General features: G+C 37.3%; 1 protein-coding gene across 9 annotated transcripts in view, besides 2 other annotated features; it reads right to left on the reverse strand.

Moving 5' to 3' along the window:
• Positions 1-23689, reverse strand: part of SGMS1 (sphingomyelin synthase 1) — a 319585-nt gene that overhangs the window by 118979 nt on the left and 176917 nt on the right. For all 9 annotated transcript variants that reach the window (XR_007061953.1, XM_047424974.1, NM_147156.4 and 6 more), the window contains one exon: positions 8898-8978. The gene's annotated coding sequence lies outside the window, so the exon portion shown is untranslated. The remainder of the gene's footprint in view (positions 1-8897; positions 8979-23689) is intronic.
• Positions 7269-7488: an enhancer, noted in NCBI's record as "active region_3360". NCBI's record gives its function as "activates an Ori minimal core promoter by ATAC-STARR-seq in GM12878 lymphoblastoid cells {active_cell/tissue: GM12878}" and the evidence as "EXISTENCE:reporter gene assay evidence [ECO:0000049][PMID:35858748]".
• Positions 13647-13706: an enhancer, noted in NCBI's record as "active region_3361". NCBI's record gives its function as "activates an Ori minimal core promoter by ATAC-STARR-seq in GM12878 lymphoblastoid cells {active_cell/tissue: GM12878}" and the evidence as "EXISTENCE:reporter gene assay evidence [ECO:0000049][PMID:35858748]".

Genomic DNA, 23689 nt, shown 5'->3' on the forward strand with positions numbered 1-23689 from the left:
TGCACAGCAAAACAATCAACAGAATAAGGAGACAACCTACAGAATGGGAGAAAATATTTGCAAACTACGCATCTCACAAAGTTCTAACATTCAGAATCTATAGGGAACTTAAACATTCAACAAACAAGAAACAACCCCATTAAAAAGTAGGCAAGGAACATGAACAGACACTTCTCAAACAAAATTAGTCGGGCATAGTGGCACATGCCTGTAATCCCAGCTACTCGGGAGGCTGAGGCAGGAGAATCACTTGAACCCAGGAGATGGAGGTTGCAGTGAGCCAAGATTGCGCCATTGCACTCCAGCCTGGGCAACAAGAGCGAAACTCCGTCTCAAAAAAAAAAAAAAAAAAAGGAGAAGACATATGAGCACAGCCAACATACATACAAAAAAAATGATCAGCCATCACTAATCATCAGAGAAATACAAATCAAAACCACAATGAGATACCATTAATCACAATGGCTATTATTAAAAAGTCACACCAGTTAGAATAGCTATTACTAAAAAGTCAAAAAATAATGTTGGCAAGGTTGCAGAGAAAAGAGTATGCTTATCCACTGCTGGTGGGAATGTAAATTAGTTCAGCCTCTGTGGAAAGCAGTTTGGAGATTTCTCAAACAACTAAAAATAGAATTACCATTTGATCCAGCAATCCATTACTGCAAATATACTCAAAGGAAAATAAATCATTATACCAAAAAGACAGATGCATTTATATGTTCAATGCAGCACCATTCACAATAGCAAAGACAGGGAATCAACCTAGGTGCCCATCAATGGTAGATTGGATAAAGAAAATGTGGTACATACATGCCATGGAATACTACACAGGCATAAAAAAGAATGAAATCATGTCCTTTGCAGCAACATGGATGGAGCTGGAGACCATTATCCTAAGTAAATTAATGCAGAAACAGAAAACCAAATACCACATATTCTCACTTATAAGTGGGACCTAAACATTGGGTGCACATGGATATAAAGATGCGAACAACAGACATTGAGGATTACTAGACAGGGGAGGGAGGAAGGGAGGCTGAAAACCCACCTATTGAGTACTATGCTCGCTACCTGGATAATGGGATGAATTGTACTCCAAAACTCAGCATCACACAATCTACCCATGTAACAAACCTGCGAATGTACCCCGGGTCTAAAATAAAAACGGAAATTTTTTAAAAAGCCGTGAATATTTAAACATGTTTTGTAGATCAGGTTGGCAAGAATGAATGAGTCTGACATTTCTCATTACATTAATCTGAGGTGTGCAAGTTAAAACTCTTTTTTTCCCTGAACCTGTGGCAATGTGTATGAAAAGAAAAAGTATGCATCCCTTTAATTATATCTGGAAATATATCCAAAAATATATGTACAAAGATATTCATTGATATATCATCTGTAATAGAGAAAACAGGAAACAATCTAAACATACATCACCAGGATATTAATTAAAATAGATATGATATCATAAAATGGAGTGGTATGTATTAAAAATTACAATATTGATTTAGAGAATGTGCTGTAGCACATTGTTAAGTGGATAAAAATGATTTAATGAAAAACAAAAGTAAAAAAAGATTCACCAAAATGTTAACATAATCTGGGGGAGATTTTCTACTTTCTTTACATTTTTCTGTGTTGCTTGAATTTTCCAAAATGAAAGTATTTTTCGTTTATAAAAAAATGTTTTAAGAGAAAATTAAAATTGGAAAAAAACAACTACCATTAATATGACTCAGGTCTGCCAATATAAATGCAATGGACACATTTATCAACATTAATGGTATTTCATACCTTTAAAAAATCTGGTTGTGCAGTATTTAATAGATACAAGTGAATACAGTTACCTATTTGGTATGAAATGTAGTATTAAAGTCATACCCATGAAGTTACCACCCATCCTATGAAGCAGACCTTACTGAAACATGGCAGCTCTCTGAGTTCACCTTCCCTTGTCTAACTGAGGCTGACAACCATTTCTTTCTGTACATGCTGGACAACAAGTTTGAAAGCCCCTGGTCCAAGATGTGGCTTTAATAATAAATTAACCCTGTGCCTTTTGACATCAAAGTAGAATTGTGGTCAGAAGTAATGAAACAGAAAACACCAGAATTCAATCAGGAAGAAAGGGGAACAGCTAAGTCATACATTGGCTTGACATAGAAACCACTAGTCAGACAGACCTCTATGAGCTATTGATTTCACTCCCTACTCCAAAGCCAGGACTTGTCACTAGTAAAATGAAATTAAGTTGGATTGCCTTGACACATGTCAGGTAGTAAGACACGGAGATCTAAAATTGCGAGAGAACAACTCCAAATTATTCCAAATTGAAATAATGGGAAAAAGCACCCCAATTAACAATGAACTCCATTTCATACATCATAGAAAAGAGAACCACTAACTTGAAGGGAAACAAAAATAATCAAATCAAAGAAAACAATAGAAATTTACTAAGAACTTTGTTGTAATAGTATGTTAAGCACTTTATAACAGAAAAAATTAATGTATCATCTGTGAAATCAAAGAACTTACGGCCGGGCACAGTGGCTCATGCCTGTAATCCCAGCACTTTGGAAGGCCGAGGCGGACAGATCACGAGGTCAGGAGATAGAGACAATCCTGGCTAACATGTTGAAACCCCGTCTCTACTAAAAATACAAAAACATTAGCCGGGTGTGGTGGCGGGCGCCTGTAGTCCCAGCTACTCCGGAGGCTGAGGCAGGAGAACGGCATGAACCCGGTAGGTGGAGCTTGCAGTGAGCCGAGATGGCGCCACAGCACTCCAGCCTGTGTAACAGAGCGAGACTCCGTCACAACAACAACCAAAAAGAACTTACAATGTGTGTCAAAGAAAGAACATATACCCTAAACTAGTGAATGAGTCAGTATAAATTGACTGAAAACTACAAATTGAGAACACAGCAGTCTAGCATGTAGTACAAATTAAATGGCACAGTAAATACAAGCTAAGGAAGGGGGGAAAGAGAAGGTAAGCTGAACTAACCAAAAGCAACGACACTTAACATTTTAAGTCGACATACAACAAAGTGGGGACACTACATAAACAGGTCACTGAGGATCAAAGCACACCCTTTATCAGCACCCAACATTGTCTACCTTGTTGGATAGCTACTTGAATAGACAGCACCCACACCATACTCTTCGATTCCTGAAGGCTGGGTCCAGGGCTTGGGTTATTTTAAACCTCCAGAAATCCACACTTTGACATGGGATATGTTCTACAAACATTTATAGAATTCAAACCTTATTTGAATTGTTAAATTCTGATGAAGGTTGACATCTTCAATGAAGGAGAAAGACAGCAGTGGAACAGTTGATAGGGAACTCTATCCCTCGAGATAAAAAGGAGGCTAAGCTGCGTGTGAATGAGAGAGAGAGAGAATGTGTGTGTGTGTGTGCATGTGTGTGTATGTGTGTGTATTAGGCCTGAAAGAGGGAGGATGGTGCCTAAAGGGAGAAAAAAGAGTAGATCAGTTTAGGCTAACTTATACTGCAGGAACAAAATGTCCTCAAATTTTGGAGGCTAACAATGGAGTGAGGCTTAATACTAGTTCCTGTCTGGCTCCTTGCAGATAAGCTGTGGACATGGAGTCCACTCCATGTCCTCTTCACTCAAAGACCAGGGCAGAAGGAGCACCCCTAACTGGCGCATGATAGTCCCATGGCAAAGAAAAGAGAAAGATGGCAGAGCAGGCCATACCTATTAAAGTGTCTTCTCAGAAATGACACAAATTATTGTCACTGACATTTCACTGCCAAAATAAATCCTAGAGGATTTATTTGGCCAAGCTAGCCATGGGGCATCAGCCTTCTGTAGAGTAGGAGAGTATAATCCTTTCACAGGGATGGAAGGTGGGCAGAAAGGAGCAGCAAGTGTTCTGACAATAATATGAGCTGCCACAAAAAGAATGGAAAATGGCTAGAGCTGAGCTTTCTTCCCCCCGTAATGATAGAAGCTGTCCTGTTATAAAAAGCAGCCCCTCCATTTCTGTGGTACTTTATGCTGTTCTCATAATCTTTCAGATACTGTCTTACTATCTTTACAACTATCCTAGCAATGTTTCAAGGCCTCAGCAGTGCCTGAACTACAACACCAAATCTGGTACTCTCTCACCCACCTTAGGGAAGTCAGCCTTTCAGTCACCTGCAAAATGCAGATAATCCCAGATGCTTCCTAAGAAGACTGTTATGAGACTAAGTACAATGATTAACAGAGGCTCCCCAATTTAGGAAAAGGTTACATCCTAATAAACCCATCATCAAAAATGCATTTACTACACCTAACATACCTAACACCATAGCTTAGCTGAGCCCACCTTAAACATGCTCAGAACACTTACGTTAGCCTAAAGTTGGGTAAAATAATCCAACAAAAAACCTATTTATTCAAGTATTGAATATTGTTTTTAAATTATTGAATACTGTACTGAAAGTTAAAATAGAATGGCTGTATGGGTACTTGAAGTATGGTTTCTACTGAAGGTGTATTGCTTTTGCACCATCATGAAGTCAAGAAATCATTAAGTCGAATCATTGTAAATTGGGGACTGTTTGTATTTAAAACACACAAGCACAGACAGGTATAGTCATGCACTGCATAACAATGTTTTGGTCAACAAGGGACACACAAAAGGCAGTGGTTCCGTAAGATTATATTTTTCCTATACTTTTCTATGTTTAGATACACAAATACTTACCATTTGGTTACAAGTGCCTATAGTATTCAGTAGAGCAACATGCTATACAGGTTTGCAGCAGCCTAGGAGCCACAGCCTATACCATATAGCCTAGGTTTGTAGTAGGCTACACCATCTAGATTTGTGTAAGTACACTCTATTATGTTGACACAACAACAATATTGCCTGAGGACACATTTCTTAGAACATAGCCTCATAATTAAGCAACTCAGTAAATATAAGGCATTACTATTATTAAATTATGACATGCATCCCCAAACTCACTTCTTTTCCAAATTGTCCTTAACTTTTAATTATAAAGAATTTGTTAAAATTCATTAAGTGTAGAAAATAAATTAATGAACTTTCCTTCACTTTTAAAAACCTCTACTCTTATAGTTTTTTCTACACATACACACACACACACACACACACACACACACACACACACACACACACATACTCTTTTCTCATGACTTCAATTACTTGTTTATGTCCTGGTTAGTTTCTTAAATCTCTCAAGAATTTTAAAAGATCTATTCTTTCTTGAGCATTTGGAACTATTTTATTTCTTCCCCAAATAAGAAAAATTAAGAACAATTGAAGCTATTCAGGGTCATTCATTTAAAGTATAACATAGATTCCAAAATGACACCCAACTAAGAATAAATTAAAGGCTTGGTATCAAAGACCCTCTATTTTCTTTTTCTAGCCCTAATTAGCAGTATTATCTTCTTTTCATTCTACTAAACTATAGTTCTAGCCTTTTCCCAAAACATGATCTTCCTCTACCATCTCTGTTCAGACTGTTCCTTTCTGCTCAAACTGTTCCTTCTACCTAGAGTGTCCCCTAAGCACTCCTCCCAACTCTGTTCAAAGGTCTCATCCAGATAACTGAATGAGTGCACCATGATGTTACCAAAGATGTTCATTACAGCACACTTTACAAAAATGAAAAGTTGAAAACAAAAATGTCCAGTAATATGCAACATTATAGACTACGTACACATGGAATGCTATATATTATGTATACATCTACAATTATGTAGATGTATATTTATTGCTGTGGCATCATCTTACTATATTGTCAACTGAAGCCGATTTCAAAACAATAGTAATAACCAGACCCATTTTAGAGGGAAAATAAAGCATGTATCTAATCTCGGCATAGAAAAGTATGGCAGAATACAAAAAAAAAAAAAAGCAATGTTAATTGTTAGCATTTTCACTGCCATGCAAAATAGTTTTGCAAATGCAAAATAGTTTTTGCATTCTAAAGTTCTATCCAATTAGCAATGTTAACTTTTATAGTTTCATAAAAGGTACTTTAATAAAAAGGCATTAATCATTAAATATCTAATCCACATATCATCTGCTCCTGAATCTCATCCCTGATCTAGCCCACTCCTCTTGCCACCCAGGTAATTTCTCTTTCTCTTCTGTTTTCTGAGTATTTTATATGTCTTTTATAATACCTACCACATTCAGTTTGAAATTATAGTTTTCTCTTTTCAGGTTTGATTATCAATTCCTAAAGTGCAATAAGTCTGTCTTATTTGTACTGAAATGTATCGTCAAAAGCAACGAGTCCCAAGTATCTAGTAAACATATTTTTGTTTATATCAACAAACATGAGTTTGTTGATATGAACATAATGCAACGCTATAAAATTTGCGCATCTAAAGACTATACACATAGCATCTCTCTAATGAAGAAATCTTCTATACAAGGGATGTTTGGAAACCACATAAGGCCCATTCTGTTAAGAGAGATGATAATATAAGTCAGAATGTTATATCTATAATAAAATTTCTGTATTAAATTATTATTTCCATGTTTGCTTTCAAAGTACAAAGACACACTTATTTAAATTAAGCCAAAGGTAATTATTTCATAATCCAAAGGCAAGTCTCTCAGATTTTAACCACGAGCTTCCTCTTGAAATGAACACAGATTACTTTTGCAGTAATCCAAGTCCATCCCTGACTCAGCGGGAACTATAAATACCTTTTGTTTTAAGAGGAAATCGGGGAAATGAATGTTTTACAATTATGTAAGTCTGATTCAAAGAACTGACACAAGCAAATGTTTTGAAATATCCAAGGCATTTTTGTAAGGTTCAATAAAAAATGTGTTTTGAGAACTAGGTGGGTGAGATTTAAAGTAAAAACAACAAACACAATCTTAGCTGTTACTTAGCAATTTCAGGGTTCGATTGCTTCCTTCTAAAGGGCAAGTTAGAAAACTGAAGAAGTTGCTTCTAGAAGAAACATTGAGATGTCTGATCTGGTTTCGTTTTTTTCCTCCATTTCACTCCCTAAGATTTTAATCAAGCCAAGATGAACCTTAAACTGCCCAGGTTTTGTTTTGTTTTTACTCTCTCCCTAGAGGCAATTGGGTTTCCATTAAAACTTAATTTTGAATCAAAAGCAAAGCTGCATGGAATGCTTAGTTGGGAGGAATCCTGACTACTTGTCTCTGTAGCACCACTACCTGAAGGAATTTAAGATTTGAAGGAATATGGGGAAGGGAGAGAAGGAAGTTCAATAGGCAGTGAGCAGAATGACTGATCGCCAATACTAGCACTTGGAGATCAGTTTAACAGCCAGAATAGGCAAGCGATGCCAGGGGTCAGTTATGAAGCTGAGTCAACAACTCAAGAAACTGTTCTAAATTCTAAATTGGTTTTGGCATCTATTTTCAATTCCAGAAACAATATGAGCATGACAACTTGAGTTACAGCAAGCACTGACTCAAAACCAAACCTTGTTTTTATTCATCAAATGAAACTCTTACCACCACGGCTGAGGCAGATAATTAAAGAATTGTGGCTTAGAAATGTCTTCACAACAGGAAACCTACAATTAGTGGTGTATTAGAGCCAACTTATACCAGGCCACTAGAACCAATTGTTAAATTCTCAAAATTTTTAGCAAGCTGGTTGTTAAACACAGTCATTATTAAAAGTTAAATTATATAAACAAAATTAAAATAAATCATACTAAAAACAAAGGTAATAAATACTCAAATCTCATCACTTCCTATTATTTTACTGTTAAGCATGCTCTTGAGGTGATTTGTAACTACTGTATCTGGTTGGTAGAAACTATATAATGCTGTGCTACTACATAAGACTTCCCAGCCTCGCTTTCAGTGACTTTTGCTGGTAGTTTAAAATGAGCCAGCCACAGCAGTGGTACTTACACAATGGAAACCTGCAAACATGACAACCCCTCCTTCTGACATTGCCAGCTTGTTAACATCTACCTGCAGATACTACCTATAATGTTAATCACCACAGCTTGGCAATAGGTAAGGAACTTGAGCTGGCCAATCTTTTGAGATAGAATAAAGGCCTATAGATTATAAATCATGACACAAATATAAGGAAGAAAAGTAAATATGATTTATTGTGCCAGTAACTATACTGTGCCAGTCATAGCACAAAGTACTTTCCACAAACTTTAATTTTATGAGAGATAGTATCAAATCCAATATACAGATGAGTTGACTAAGGTTCTGAGAGGTTGAGTAACTACTAAAAAGCACAAGAGCAAGAGTGAGGCCTAGGATTGTCTGACTCAAAAATATATGATCTTTCCACTAAGCTACCCCACTTACTAACATTATTGTTATCACAGTGAAACCAAAATCAACCATATGTAACTGTCAGATAATTAGCAAACATTAATAGCCTCTGATGTACATAAAAGTAGCATACATGAAGAGGGATATGGAGAAGATGTAGACAAAGAACTCAATTTTAATCATATTCACCAAATTTGTTCATATTTACTTCAAAATATGCCCACAGAAAAAAATACGTGAGTGAGAAATGGAGCCCAAGGAAACCACTAGGACCAAAAATATCTGCATATCCTAAGGGTTATTCCAAGCTTAATTTAAATGCTGACCATGTGCAGGGAATTCTCTTAATTCTTCAAATACTTATGCTCTGTCCACCAAATTGACACACTCAACTTAAAATGACACACCCTATCAAGAAAGAAGTACGCAAAATAAGATTTATCAAAGTTAGCATCAATTGTTTGACGTGTTTGGATATTTACTTTATAAAATAGTTTCTCTTTTGCACTCAAGTTAGTTGATTGTGCTATCCTTTTACCATGGTTCCTTAAAGAAAATTTACCCAGTAGTTAAAAGAATTCCAAAAGGCCAAGAACATTAACTTACGGATTATTTAAAAACATTCTGGTCATCTTGGCTTCCTATAAGCTACCAGCTTCTCCCATTGTTCCAGTACAGTTCCATCACCTGTCATAAGCAGAAAGAATCTAATTAGTTACATGTCTCAGAAAGGCCATTTCTTGATTTCCACTAGTTAGTCTCTTCTTCACACACAAGACATAGAAAAGTCCAGTCATCTCTTCTCTTTTTTACCAAAAACAAAAAGGAAAGAGAAAATAGCAACACAGAAAATTACCTTAAGAGAAAAAAAATTTTAAGAGCAGTATTTCCACTATGAAGGATTGGGGTGGTGAACCCTTAAAATTTTGCCCTCCATTATGTTTTCAGGAAGAGATACCTAGTCTGTTTCCCAGGCGGCAACAGTATTAGAGTAACCCACCTTCTCTCTCCATCTCTCCTCCCTAACCCCTTCTTACCTCTCCTCAAAAGTGAAGGATTAATTTGCCTGGAAGGACTAAACGAGACACCAAATGATTTCTTGGCCCTGCTCTGAGCCAGGCAACAAAGGCCTCCCTCCAGTCACACACGCTTTGATCCAACAAAGGCATTATACCAGAACTATGGACACCTAATGCTTAATGATCAGAATTGCTACATTGTCCACATGTCCAGTTCAACAACTACTGGAGGATTCATATAATTCACAGAATAATAAAATATGGCCAGCAAAGGGCCTTCCTTTTTCCAAGAAGAAGTCATTCAGAACAATGTGTTTACTTTTGTTTTTCCATTTCTTAGCATTTTAGAATAAACAGGCTAGAAATAGAACTTTTTGCTTTCTTTCCCTTCAGAGAAGGGCCCCAAATAAAAATACCCGACTTTTACCAGCTAGAATGCAACTATTGCTCATGTTATGTGAAGAACGTGTGGCTCCAAGAAGACAACATTGATAAAACAGGAACCTAAATTAACTTTCATCACCTGAGGCCTCAATGTTAATTCTGAGATGAGATTAATAATTGTGATATGGCTCCATGCATGCACTGAGGTACCATGAGAGGCAGTGTCACCTCAGTTACCTGAACCATAGACAGAAACCTCAAGTTACCCAAAGCATAAAGGGACAGGGCGGTGTTACGGAGATTAAGAAAGGAGGAGATGATTGGCCAGCAGTGGTGGCTCACGCCTCTAATCCCAGCATTTTGGGTGGCTGAGACGGGCAGATCACAGGGTCAGGAGATCGAGACCATCCTGGCTAACACAGTGAAACCCTGTCTCTACTAAAAATACAAAAAAAAAAAAAAATTAGCCAGGCGTGGTGGCGGGTGCCTGTGGTCCCAGCTACTCAGGAGGCTGAGGCAGAGAATGACGTGAACCCGGGAGGCGGAGTTTGCAGTGAGCCGAGATCACGCCACTGCACTCCAACCTGGGCGACAGAGCAAGACTCCGTCTCAAAAAAAAAAAAAAAAGACAGGAGGAGATGGAACAAACACCAAATAAATAAATATAGAGATCTTCTCTAATAATAAAGAAAGAACTTGTCAGCCTCAATAAAAATAGCAAGGAAGAACTGAGGAGTCAAAGATCTAAAAATTATACCCAACACTAAGAGGAACAGATTCATTGGCTAGCTATGGCTTTATATGCCTGGCCACTGACATGAGGCTCTTTACATGAATGAGAAACACAGTAAGGTTTGATACAGGTTTAAAATAAACAGGTTTGAACCCCATCTGTGCTGTTTAATAGCAGTGTGATCTTTGCCAAGTAATTTATTCCTTCTAAGGCTCAGTTTCCAAGTCTGTAAAATACATACAATAATACATACCTTGCAGAGTAGTTATATAACTTAAAGATGATATATGCACTGTGTCCATCATACAATTAGTTCTCAAAAGATTACTGCAATTACTGTGCTCACTAGTGCAACTATGGTAGCAAGACTATTAAATTCATGATTACAATTGCAATTATGTCCATTAAATTCACAGACTCTTTCCTGATGAGACCATTCTGGAAAGAAGTTCTAAATGTAACTTTTGACAACAATATAAAACTTTTCTAAGTTGATCTGATGAAATGTTCAATACAAATCTCCACCTTAGTTGACAGCCTTTATTAACATGGGCACACAGAAAGCTCTAGCTATGTCTTTGTTAGCATTCTTCATATCAATACTGAGCTTCTTTTTTTGATGATGAATTCCTGAAAAGAGGGAATGAATCACTTCCATTAGTGCTAATTCTTCTGGTGTACATTCTAATGCTGGGCACCACATCACAGACTCATAAGCAACAGTATGGATTTGTCAGTTATGTTAAAAACAAACAAACAAACAAACAAAAAAATACAAGATTCACCAGGTGAACGCATACTAACTTTAAAACAGAAGTGCCAGAACTTAATGTCTAAAAAAGTACTCCTTGACCCCTTCCAAGTCACCCTCTTTGGGACTCACTCCAGTGATGCTGACTGCTCAGAATAAGTACTCGTCTTTTACCTTCAGAACCAGTGTGCAATGTTCACAAGAACACGTGTGTCATTACAGTTTAGTTCCCTTTATTTGCTATAATAGAAAATATTTTAATAGATTAGTTCAAAGAATCAAATTCATCCTCAAAGATGGTAATTTAGCACCACTGTGGTTATTCAAAAGAATTATAAGCAACTTCAACAACCAACTTTTTTTTTTGAGACATAGTCTCGCTCTGTCGCCCAGGCTGGAGTGCAGTGGCACTATCTCGGCTCACTGCAAGCTCCGCCTCCCGGGTTCACACCATTCTCCTGCCTCAACCTCCCGAGTAGCTGGGACTACAGGTGCCCGCCACCATGCCCGGCTAATTTTTTTTTGTATTTTTAGTAGAGACGGGGTTTCACCATGTTAGCCAGGATGGTCTTGATCTCCTGACCTCATGATCTGCCCACCTCAGCCTCCCAAAGTGCTAACAACCAACTTTTTTGAACCACCCATTTGGTGGAAGACACTGTGCTCAGCAGTGGGAGTGGGGAAGGGGTTATAAGGTGATTGCGATGAAGTTCATTTAAAAGAATGCAGAACACTGGCGGTATCACTGGAATATAAGCAATTAGTTCAGCTGATGCACTTAAAAAGAACAATCTGGACGTATGAACCCTGGCTGTGATTGTTACAAGCCCAGCACTTCCTAATCGTGCTTCAAATACAATGTTAAGATTCCATAACAGTCATGGGAAAACCTGGCTCCTTTTCTGAATGTTCACTTTACACTCTAGGGCAAAGCTGAGCCTGCTACCCCTGGGTGGAAGAAGACTGGCTGGCATCAAAATCAAGAGCATTCAAGAGCTAATATGAAAATAAGGCTGGAGAAGTTGTGGGAAAAGTTCCTGTGGCCATGAGACACAGTTGTTTGATTCTTAGCCTCTTTCTCCAAATGATCTAGTTTACTAAGAAGAATTTGGGCTTCCTCTATGGGAGACAGTATCCCGTGGCCATGAAAGGTATGTGCGTTGCTGTCACACAGAACTATGTTCTGCAACTAAGCTCTGAAGACCTTGAGCATGTTGTGTAATTTCTGTAAGCCTCAGTTTCCTCATCTATAGAATGGGAGCGATATCAGTACAATAACCAGATGTTGTTATATGGGTTAAAAGACATAATGTCTATACACAATTTAATAAAGTTCATGGCAAACAGTAAACGCTTATTAAATGTTGTGCCATTGGAAAATGTACACTATCCTCATACTTTGGGGGCAATACAAGTACTAGGGTGAAGCCACAAAAAAAGAGGTATCCCAGTATGCTCAACAATGTTCCAGCCCACTTCACTAGGAGACCACAAAAGGGCTTGGGGTGATATCTCATGTAGCAATAAAGGGCAAATTGTCTGCTCTTACATCTGTGCATGTAACTTGGAAGCAAAATGAGAGTGGCAGCAGTATTCAGAGGCTTCTTGGCCAGTGGAAAATTCAGAAATGTTAACACCAGCCACACAGAAACAAAACTGAGTAACTTGCTCAAGATTACTTAGCTAATAAATGGCAGAAGCTGAAATTCAAGCCCACGCAGTCTAGCTTTAGTCTTTGTTCTTAACCACTATACTACACTGTGTCCCTGGCAAAGAGAAGGAACAATAACTAAAGACTAACTAAGACACAGGCCAGGAGCAGGCCATAAAAAAGCAAGAAACAGCACCCTACTGATGTCTGAAGAAAAGAGGAAGATAACACAAGAGTTACTGGGGCAAAAGAGTAAAAGCACCAAAACTGCTAATGATTCTAACCTGAAATTTACCAACACAGCCTTAGCAAGACATCCTAAAAGGATGGTATAGTGAAAGTGACCTGGTTTTGTAATTCAGTGCTTGCTTAAAGAGAATAGTAATCAGAAGACACAAAAGCTGAGAAGACCTCACTTTGGTCCTTTATAGAAGCCACACTATGATGTAGGAACAAATGTCTAGAGAAGAATGTGTCACATACCCCAAATGCCCACTGACAAGGAAGGGCCCCAGCAGCATGAGAGTTGCTTCCAAAGGCAGGGTTTCCTGCTACCTTTTCATTGCATTTCTACAGTAGAGAAGAGGAGGAAAAGCCACTCAGGGCTGTTGAATTCTCTGTAGGTCAGAAGGAAGGAAAAAAGCAGAAGGGATGAGAAACACGCTGCTATTAAGTAGGAGAATGGACAGAGAGGAGAGTAAGGATAAAGAGAAGCCATATTCTTGGCCAGTCTCAGATGTGTCAGACTCTAAAGTGGCCCCCTTGATCTCTGTCTCTTCCTATCTAGGCCTTGCCTAATTCCCTCGCCCTTTCAGGACAGGTTCTGTGACTTGCTTGTAGCCAATAGAATAAGGCAAAAATGACAGGATGTATGTGGGTACATTACATAAGATTGTAACATCTACTCTGCTACAAGTTTCTCTCTTGGTTTTGAAAGTGCAGGCTGCCATTTTGTGGGCTGCCTACTGAGAGAGCCCCATGAGGACAACCTCCAGCTGACAGCAAGAAACCAAGGCTCTAGTTAGAGAGCCCATGAGAAACTGAATCCTGCCAATCACACGGGCTTGGGAACAAATCCTCCTCCCATCCAGCCTCAGGTAAGACAGCAGCCATAGCTGATGCTTGACTGTGGCCTTGCTAAGTACCTTGCTAAGTCATTCCCAGACTCCCGACCCACAGAAACTGTGAGATAATTTTGTGATTGATTAAGCTGCTAAGTTTGTGCTAGATTGTTATGTAGCTATAGATAACTACTACAAAAGGGAGGTGAAGTTCATGTCCCTGATGTCACCACATGTCCTTCTGAGAGAGGAGAGGGGAGAAAGAGGAAGCCCCAAGAGCCAGGGTGAGCAATTCTGCCTCTACATTAGCACACACCCTCCAATTCAGTTCTCTCCAACTCAGACTCAGTTTCCTCCCTTAACACTCCATCCTATTCTTGTCATTTGGAGGATATAATGAAACATATTAGCCAAGGAAATAGCAATCGTATAAATGGCGATCAGGTTCCCTGGCTGGCCTGCAAAAGCTACTCAACATGCGAAACATGACACGTTTAGAACAGTAAGAGAACTGTGACCATTATATGAGCTATATTAAGACCCTATATGGCATACAATAATTTAAACAAAGGAATATTTAAAATGTGATAGATTGGACTTAAACACTGAATAAAACATGTTCCAAGAGACATGTTGGAGACTTGTTGGATTAGTGGTTTTGAGAACTGAATAAAAATTAAAACATCCAATTTTTATCTAAGTTTTTCTAATATGGGCGCCTTAAAAACCAAATGTAAATATTCTTAAATTTTCTCAGCAAGCACCTGTAGCTTTGACAAATCAAGTAACAATCATTCTCAACCACAGAGTATACAGCTAAAACTCACTCAATGAGCCAGAGACCTCTTATCTCAGCAGGCCATCTTTCCAAGCAGAAACTGGTAGGGAAATCCTACCATCAAATAATCTGAAAGCTGAGAAATGCTCATTAGTCTTCTAGTCCCAGCCTCTCAGTTGACAGATGATGACACATAGATCCAACGACTTTAAGTGACCTGTCCAGGGTCACTCAGCAGCACAATGCGGGCCTTCTGTTCCCAGGCTTCTTTATAATCAGACCTACCAAACTTTAGCTTCAACATGAGAGATGAAATCAATGGCATCAAAAATTCTGTTGGGGGAGAAAATAGGAACTAACATTTCATGACACTATAAAGCTCCTACAGTACTTCTAAAAACTAAGTTTTGTGGCAAGAGGGAAAAATAACACCATATAAACATTAATATGAAATGTTCAATCCAGTTTCAAAAGCAATGCACAATATTTTCTGAGTAAACTGAAATGCTCCCAAAATAGGCTGTCTTTTCTTCTGAATAATTTGCCTTTAAAAAAATGAATAGGGAAGAAAATTTTTCAAAGGCTGGCACAGAAACTTGTGCAAGGATGTCTACTCCACTGCTTTATATATCTCTATTCCTAAATTCGTCGATTCATTCAACAGGTATTTTGGGGGCATCTACAATTCCAAAGCATTGAGGTAAGTGCTGTATATAAGGAACCTATCTGGATACAAGCAAATGATGCTTACTAATATTTTCAGCACAAGTAACCACATCTAAACAAGCAAGCAATGCAGCAACAAAGATTTCTGGTATGTATTTTGGTAGGCTATTAGGAATGCAGACCACAGCTCTCTTTTCTTCTAGAAACTTCCATATTTAAAATAAATAGTAACTGGTTTTTCTGTGCAATGATATTGCCCCCAAGGTAGCAATGAGAGGTATCAATAAAAGGGGTTAAAACACCCCAGGTCACATCCCTCCAGAACTCCTGTTACAGAACTCTCCCAGCAACCCAAATTAAAAAATATATATATATATATATTTTCTTTTAAAGTGGCCTTTCACTCAACATTCTCCTTCCTAATCCTTTTCTCAGTACCAAGAATAAATATATGTTAAAAACAAATTAAAAGTAAATAAGGGCTTATTTTTCCCCGCAGAGCCAGCAGTTTTCTCTCCTCACATGAATTTAAACCTCTCTAGCTATTCCTATCAGTGAACATTATTTAACCCCTCCATGATTTAAATGCATCTGAATGCTTTGACATAATATTGCTAAGTAATACTAATGTCACTAAAGGTAAAAAATAGCACGAACTGTTTACCACATGCTAGGCTCGTTCCTTTAGATATACATAAAATATTTCCAGAAACAGGCTCTCACTCTGTTGCTCAGGCTGGGGTGCAGTGGCGCAATCATTGCTTGCTGCAGCCACGACTTCCTGCCTCCTGGGTTCAAGCAATCCTCCCATCTCAGCCTCCTGAGTAGCTGGGACTACAGGTGCATACTACCATGGCCAGCTAATTTTTGCTTGTTTGTTCTTGTAGAGGCAGGGTCTCTGTTGCTTATGCTGGTCTCAAACTCCTGGCTTCAAGCAATCCTCCTGCCTGGCCTCCCAAAGTGTTGGGATTACAGGCATGAGCCACCATGCCCAACCTAGGCTCATTTCTAAATGTTTTACATGTACTAATTCATTGAATCATGCCAAGAGCACTCTGAGGCATGTTAACATTACTATCCTAGTTTTAGAGAGGAGGGAGCTAGAATAGAGTTACTAAAAAAGCAGGCACAGTTGTTCGGCAAACGACATTGCATGAAATGCATGCAATGCATCCAGTCGACAAAGTGTTAGTGGGAAACCTCCACTCCCTCAGTTTCATGCTTTCATTTGTAGAACTTTCCATTAGCCTAATAGTTCAGCCTTCTCTCCCACCTTCTCCCTGGTGGAGGAGAAGTTAATTATGTGAATAGCGAGTTTGGGAGAAAGGCTACCCTGCTCATAGATGGAGTGTATTCCAGGCTGTTGCCTTCTACATTGAAAATCAGTCTCACTCAAGTATGAAATACCAGAAAACCCATTTGGCCAACCAACTTTATTTCCAAATCTCTATATTTCAAATTCCTATTGGTATATCCATTGGTCCCAAAATTGGACGAGAAAAAAAAGGTGTCATTCAACTGTCCACTCTGCCAAACTCTAACACAAATAACTTTAATTCCTAACTGGGTGGCAAGATATTTGAGAAAAAGGTAAATATTTCTTTTACAAAAAAAAGGAAACCAAAACTCAAAGGTATGTAAGAACATAACCAGTCCAGTCCAATAAGGTGTCTGCAGAGGAGATCATGAATGAACCTGCTCCTCTAACTGACCGTCAAGGGACATCTTAAAGGACAAGGCTATTTATCTACTTTCTTTACCACGTATAACCAGAAAACACTGCTTCCTTACCAAATAAATAAAACGCACACAGATAACCTTTTCTATTGGAGCATCCTAATTTAAAGTAGTAGAAAATTCCTTAGCAGTAGTCTCATTATTGTCACAAAGCATGCAAAGTATTTCAGTATTGCACATTATCTTCCCAGTCTGTCAAAGTCTGTATTTTTATCCATTGCATGGATACTTCTACCATAAAAAGTATAGTGACAAAAATACTACCCACAACTTGGTAACAGAGGAATAAAAATGTCACTAATCTCTAACTTTGTCATTTGATCTTTCCTATCACCCTCCAAAGGCAATGTTTCTCATTTCAAAAATACATTTTAAAAGACATTCATTAACTTGCTTTTATTTTTTTATTTTTTTAATTATACTTTAAGTTCTGGAACACATGTGCAGAACGCATGGGTTTGGTTAAAGATAAAAAACAAAACAAAACAAAACAAAAGGGCGTTCATTCAATAATACTGACTTTTTCTGCTGTAGATTTTTTTTTTTTTTACTTTTGAGTTCAGGGGTACATGTGCAGGTTTGTTACATAGGTAAACTTGTGTCATGGGGGTTTGTTGCATAGATTATTTCGTCACCCAAGTATTAAGCCCAGCATCCATTAGGTATTCTTCCTGATGCTCTCCCTCCCCCACCGCCCCCCTCTGACAGGTCCCAGTGTGTGTTGTTCACCTCTATGTGTCCACGTGTTCTCATCATTCAGCTCCCACTTGTAAGTGAGAACATGCAGTGTTTGGTTTTCTGTTCCCACATTAGTTTGCTAAGAATAACGGCCTCCAGCTCCATCCATGTCCCTGGAAAGGACATGATCCTGTTCTTTTGGATGGCTGCATAGTGTTCCATGGTATGTATGTACCACATTTTCTTTATCCAGTCTATCACTGATGGGCATTTAGGTGGATTCCATGTCTTTGCTATTGTGAATACTGCTGCAATGAACATACCTGTGCATGTGTCTTTGTAATAGAACAATTTATATTCCTTTGGGTATATACCCAGTAATGAGATGGCTGGGTTTGTTTAATTTGTATAAGTTCCTTATAGATTCTGGATATTAGACCTTTGTCAAATGTATAGCTTGCAAAAATTTTCTCCTATTATTTAGGTTATCTGTTTACTCTGCTGATAGTTTCTTTAACTGTGCAGAAGCTCTTTAGTTTAATTAGATCCCATTTGTCAATTTTTGCTTTTGATGAGACTACTTTTGGCATCTTCTTCATGAAATCTTTGCCTGTGCCTATTTTAATGCAGATAATTTGAGCTTCCTGCTTTACTATTCAAACTGCACTTAATAAGAATGGTTTCCTTAGTGTTCTATGAGCAAAAATTTCAAAATAGAAAACAAGCCATGTTTATCTCATAAGTTTAGAATATTTACTTTTCCATAAATGTATATAGGAAAAGTCAGTCAATCAGCTCTCTCAGCTGGAGAGAACAAATAATAGCTAGACTAGCACTTAGATGCTTTGACTTTTGCAACAACCCTAATGTAGATAAGGCATCCCTGTTTTCCAAAGAAAAGCCTGAAGTTCAGAAAAATACAGTGACATGCCTAAGTTAACCTACTTACTAAGTGACGGGGCTCAATTTTAAACACAGTTCTTCTATTTGAGCCAAAGTTTGTGGTTTTTGTCTGCTAGAACACTAACCATGAAAACCAAAAATAACAACAACAACAAAAAAGTTTCTAAGTAGCCAGAGAAAAAAAGACAACATATGAGAAGAAGAAGAGGAATGATGGCAGACATCTCATTCGAAACAGGTGTCCAGAAAACAATAATCAACATCTAAAGAGAAGGAGAAAAAAAAGACTGAATGCCCACCTAGAATTCTATATACAACAAAAAAATCTTTTAAAAAATAAAGACATTTTCACACAAATGAAAATGAGAGATTTGTTGCCAGTAAACCCACACTATAAGAAATGCTGAAGGAAGCTCTTCAAGCTAAAGCAAAATGATACCAGATATAGATGTAAACCCATAGAAAGGAATGAGGAACCTTGGAAATAATACATTGTATGTTAACATAAAAGACTTTTTTTCTTAATTTATTTAAAACATATATGACTAATACATACTATATTAAAAGTATAATATTGTATTATATAGTTTGTGACATATATAGATATAAAATGTACAAAGACAATAGCACAACAGATGGGGAGAGGCAAATGAAACCATATTATTGTAGGTTTCTTATATTTTACATGAAGCAATACCATATTAATTCAAGGAAAATTTTTTACTAAGGGTGAATATTGTGATCTGCAGAGTAACTACAAAACAGTAGTGCAAAGAAAACCTGAGAGAAATGTAAATGTTATACTAAAAATATTCAATAAACAGAGACACAGAATTTTTTAAAAGTCTAAAGGATAAGACATATAGGAAACAAGTTTTAAAATGGTAGATCTAAAACTAACATGTCAATATACAGTAAATGTAAATAGACTAAACATTTAATTAAAAGGCAGAAATCACCAGAATACATTAAAAAATGATACTGAACTATATGGTACCTAAATAGATGCATTTTAAATACAAAGTCACAGATAAACATGTAATAAAAGGATATACCAGTAGAAACTCAATACAAAAACCAGACAAACATAATAAAAGAAGACTACAGACTTATATCCCTCATAAAACATACATGGAGAAATTCTCAACAAAATACAGTGCTGGCATAAGGACAGATGAATAGAACAATGGATCAAAACAGAGATCACAAATAGACACACACATATACGACCAACAGATTTTCTGACCAAGATGTCAAAATAATTCAGTGGGTGTAAGGATAATTTTTTCAACAAATTGAGCAGAAACAAATAAATATTCATAGGGAAAGAAAAATGAATCCTGACTCCTACCTCACACTAATAACAAAAATTACTTAGAGCTGAGAGTGGTTGCGTGCACCTGTAATCACAACTACTCAAGAGGCCGAGGTAAGAGGATCACTTGAGCCCAGGAGTTCATATCCATCCTGGGCAACACAAGAAGACCCCATTTATTAAAAAAAAAATACTTTGAGAGAGGTCATACAACTAATTATAAAAGCTAAAACTATAAAGTATTTTAGGAAAACGTAGAACAATGGCTTTGCAATGATGAGGTAGACAAAATACTACCAATAAAAGAAAAACTAGCTAGTTGGACTTCATCAATATCAAAACTGCTTTTTGAAAGACAAAGTTAAGAAAATGAAAAGGCAACCACCAACTGGAAAAAATTCACCATACATGTATCTGACCAAAGACACGTATCCAGAATATATAAAGAACCACCATAATTTAATTTTTGAAAAGTCACACAACCCAATTGTTAAAATAGTAAAAGATTTGACAAGATACTTCATAAAAGAGGACACATGAATGGCCAATAAGTACATGAAAAAATTTTCAACATCATTAGTCACCAAGGAAACAACAGGAATCTACAAGATACCACTTTACCTGCACTGGAATGCTAATTTTAAAAATACTGAAAAAAGCAAGAGTTGGCAAAGACTTGGAGTACATTAGAGCATCTCATAAGTTGCTGATGGGCATACTGAATTATAAAGCCCTTTAGAAAAATGTTTGACAATTTTTAAGTAAATTTTTTATAAGATTAAATATACACTTACCCAATAATATACTTCTAAGAACACACTCAAAAGACATGAAAACTTGTGAACTTGTGTCCACAAATGTTGCGGGAAGTCAGGGACCCCAAATGGAGGGACTGGCTGAAGCCATGGCAGAAGAACATAAATTATGAAGATTTCATGGACATTTATTAGTTCCCCAAATTAATACTTTTATAATTTCTTACGCCTGTCTTTACTGCAATCTCTGAACATAAATTGTGAAGATTTCATGGACACTTATCACTTCCCCAATCAATACTCTAGTGATTTCCTACGCCTGTCTTTACTTTAATCTCTTAATCCCGTCATCTTCGTAAACTGAGGATGAATGTCACCTCAGGACCCTGTGATGATTGTGTTAACTGTACAAATTGTTTAAACAATATGAAATCTGGGCACCTTGAAAAAAGAACAGGATAACAGCGATGTTCAGGGAACAAGGGAGATAACCTTAAAGGCTGGCTGCCTGTGGGCTGGGTGGAACAGAGCCATATTTCTCTTCTTTCAAAAGCAAATAGGAGAAATATCACTGAATTCTCTTTCTCAGCAAGGAACACCCCTGAGAAAGAGAATGCATTTCTAAGGGGAGGCCTCTGAAATGGCTGCTTTGGGAATGTCTGTCTTTTACGATTGTAGATAAGGGAAGAGATAAGCCCCCATCTCCCCTAGTGCTCCCAGGCTTATTAGGATGAGGAAATTCCCACCTAATCAATTTTGGTCAGACCGGTTGTCTGCTCTCAAACCCTGTCTCCTGGTAAGATGTTATCAATGACAATGCGTGCCCGAAACTTCATTAGCAATTTTAATTTTGCCCCGGTCCTCTGATCTCACCCTGCCTCCATTTGCCTTGTGATATTTTATTACCTTGTGAAGCATGTGATCTCTGTGACCCACACCCTATTCATACACTCCCTCCCTTTTTGAAAATCACTAATAAAAACTTGCTGGTTTTGCGGCTTGCTGGGCATCACAGAACCTGCCAACATGTGATGTCTCCCCCAGACACCCAGCTTTAAAATTTCTCCCTTTTGTATTCTTTCCCTGTATTTCTCAAACAGGCCAACACTTAGGGAAAATAGAAAAGGACCCATATCGAATATCAGGGGCTGGTTTCCCCCGATACACAAAAAGACATACAATAATGTTCACAGTAGTTATATTCATAACAGCCAAAAACTGTAGACCATCCAAATGTCTATCAATAGGTGAATAACTTCATGCAATAGAATACTACTCAATAGCATGATACATGCAGTAAGAGTATGAATCTATAAAACACCAGCAAGTGGAGCAAAAGACACCAGGAGCATAAGCACACTCAGTATAACTACATATCTGAAGTTCTGAAAGAGGCAAAATCTACTGATAGAATCACACTCGCACACGTGTTTGCCTCTGGGATGGCACACCTGACTGAAAGTGGACACAAGAGAACTTTTTGGGATGATAGAGATGTTGGTTCACTATTCACTTCAAATTTGTACATTGTATAAATTATACCTAAATTTTAAAATAAATCACAAAATAATTTATTTGAATGAGTTCTGGAGGAGATATGGTCTCTCACAGGTCAAAAGTGTTTCTTTCTTATCTTGGGGAACAACTTCTAAAGCCTCAAAAATAGAAGGTGTGTGTGTTTAATTTACACATGTCATTTTTGAAATATATACCCAATCAAAGCAAAGGAAAACAAACTATTGTCTGCTTCCTATCTAAATAGTCTTTGAACATTTGTTCCAACCAAGGAGAATTAAAAGCAATCTGTCATTTAGATTTTATTTAATTTTACTTACCACATTAACAATTTAAAGGTTACTTTTAACAATTCAAGGGAGAGAGACTCAAAAAGAAAATAAACTATAAAACACAAATCCAAATTTTCTAATGTCTTATTCATTCTAAAATACTAAATTCCTACTATAATCCAGGTAAGATGATAGTCACTAGAGAAATGAAAATTAAATTTTACACCCTGCTGTTAAGGACTTCTAAGTCTAGTGGAAGAGATATACATAAATAATTACCTTAAAGTATAAATAAGTGTTCTTGAATATAAATTGGTAAAAACCTTACTTGGGGAAAATGTATCATTTCTTTCCTCTTTAAAATTGTAACACTTAATACTGATAAATATTATGTAAGAAGTAAACAAAATAAAGTCAGTTATTCCTTCTGAAGGAAACAATAATTTTAAGAAAAAAATTATTTTATTAACTATCTCAATGTAAACATATTTCTTAGCTCAAAAATATAACCCATATTGTTTCTGCTTCTTTTTAAATTATTTTTAATTGACAAATAAAAATTGTACATGTTTATCACGTATAACATGTTTTGAAATACATATACATTGTGGAATAGCTAAATGGAACTAACTAACATATGCATTACCTCACACATCCTGTTTTGTGGTAAGAATACTTCAAATCTACTCTTTTATCAATTTTCAAGCATATAATACATGGTTATTTACTGGAGTCATCATGAAGTACAATAGATCTCTTGTCCATAGTCATTTTAAAGAAAATAATCCCATGTGCAGCAAAGGAGACTAGGCAACTTGTCCTATACCACTTCCTCACACCCTTCACCCCCAAATTCCACAGCTGGTTCAACTGGGATAGGTTCCAGTGCAAAGTAATCTGAAGGCTAGTCAGGAACTGTAGTGACTCCCTCAAAATGAAGAGATGGGATGGATCAATTCACAGTCTCAGGAATCCAAACTGTGAAACAAATTCTTTCTCTTTCATTTTCTCCTGAGCCTACTTTTGTCCCCACCACTGTATATTCAGCTGTTTGGGAAGCTGAGGCAGGAGGATCACTTGGGCCCAAGAGGTGGATGGAGGCTGTAGTGAGCTGTGATGGCTCCACTGCACTTGAGCCTGGGCAACAGAGCAAGACCTTGTCTCAAAAAAAAATTAATGA

This window comes from Homo sapiens, chromosome 10, assembly GCF_000001405.40.
Source record: "Homo sapiens chromosome 10, GRCh38.p14 Primary Assembly".
NCBI lineage: Eukaryota > Metazoa > Chordata > Mammalia > Primates > Hominidae > Homo > Homo sapiens.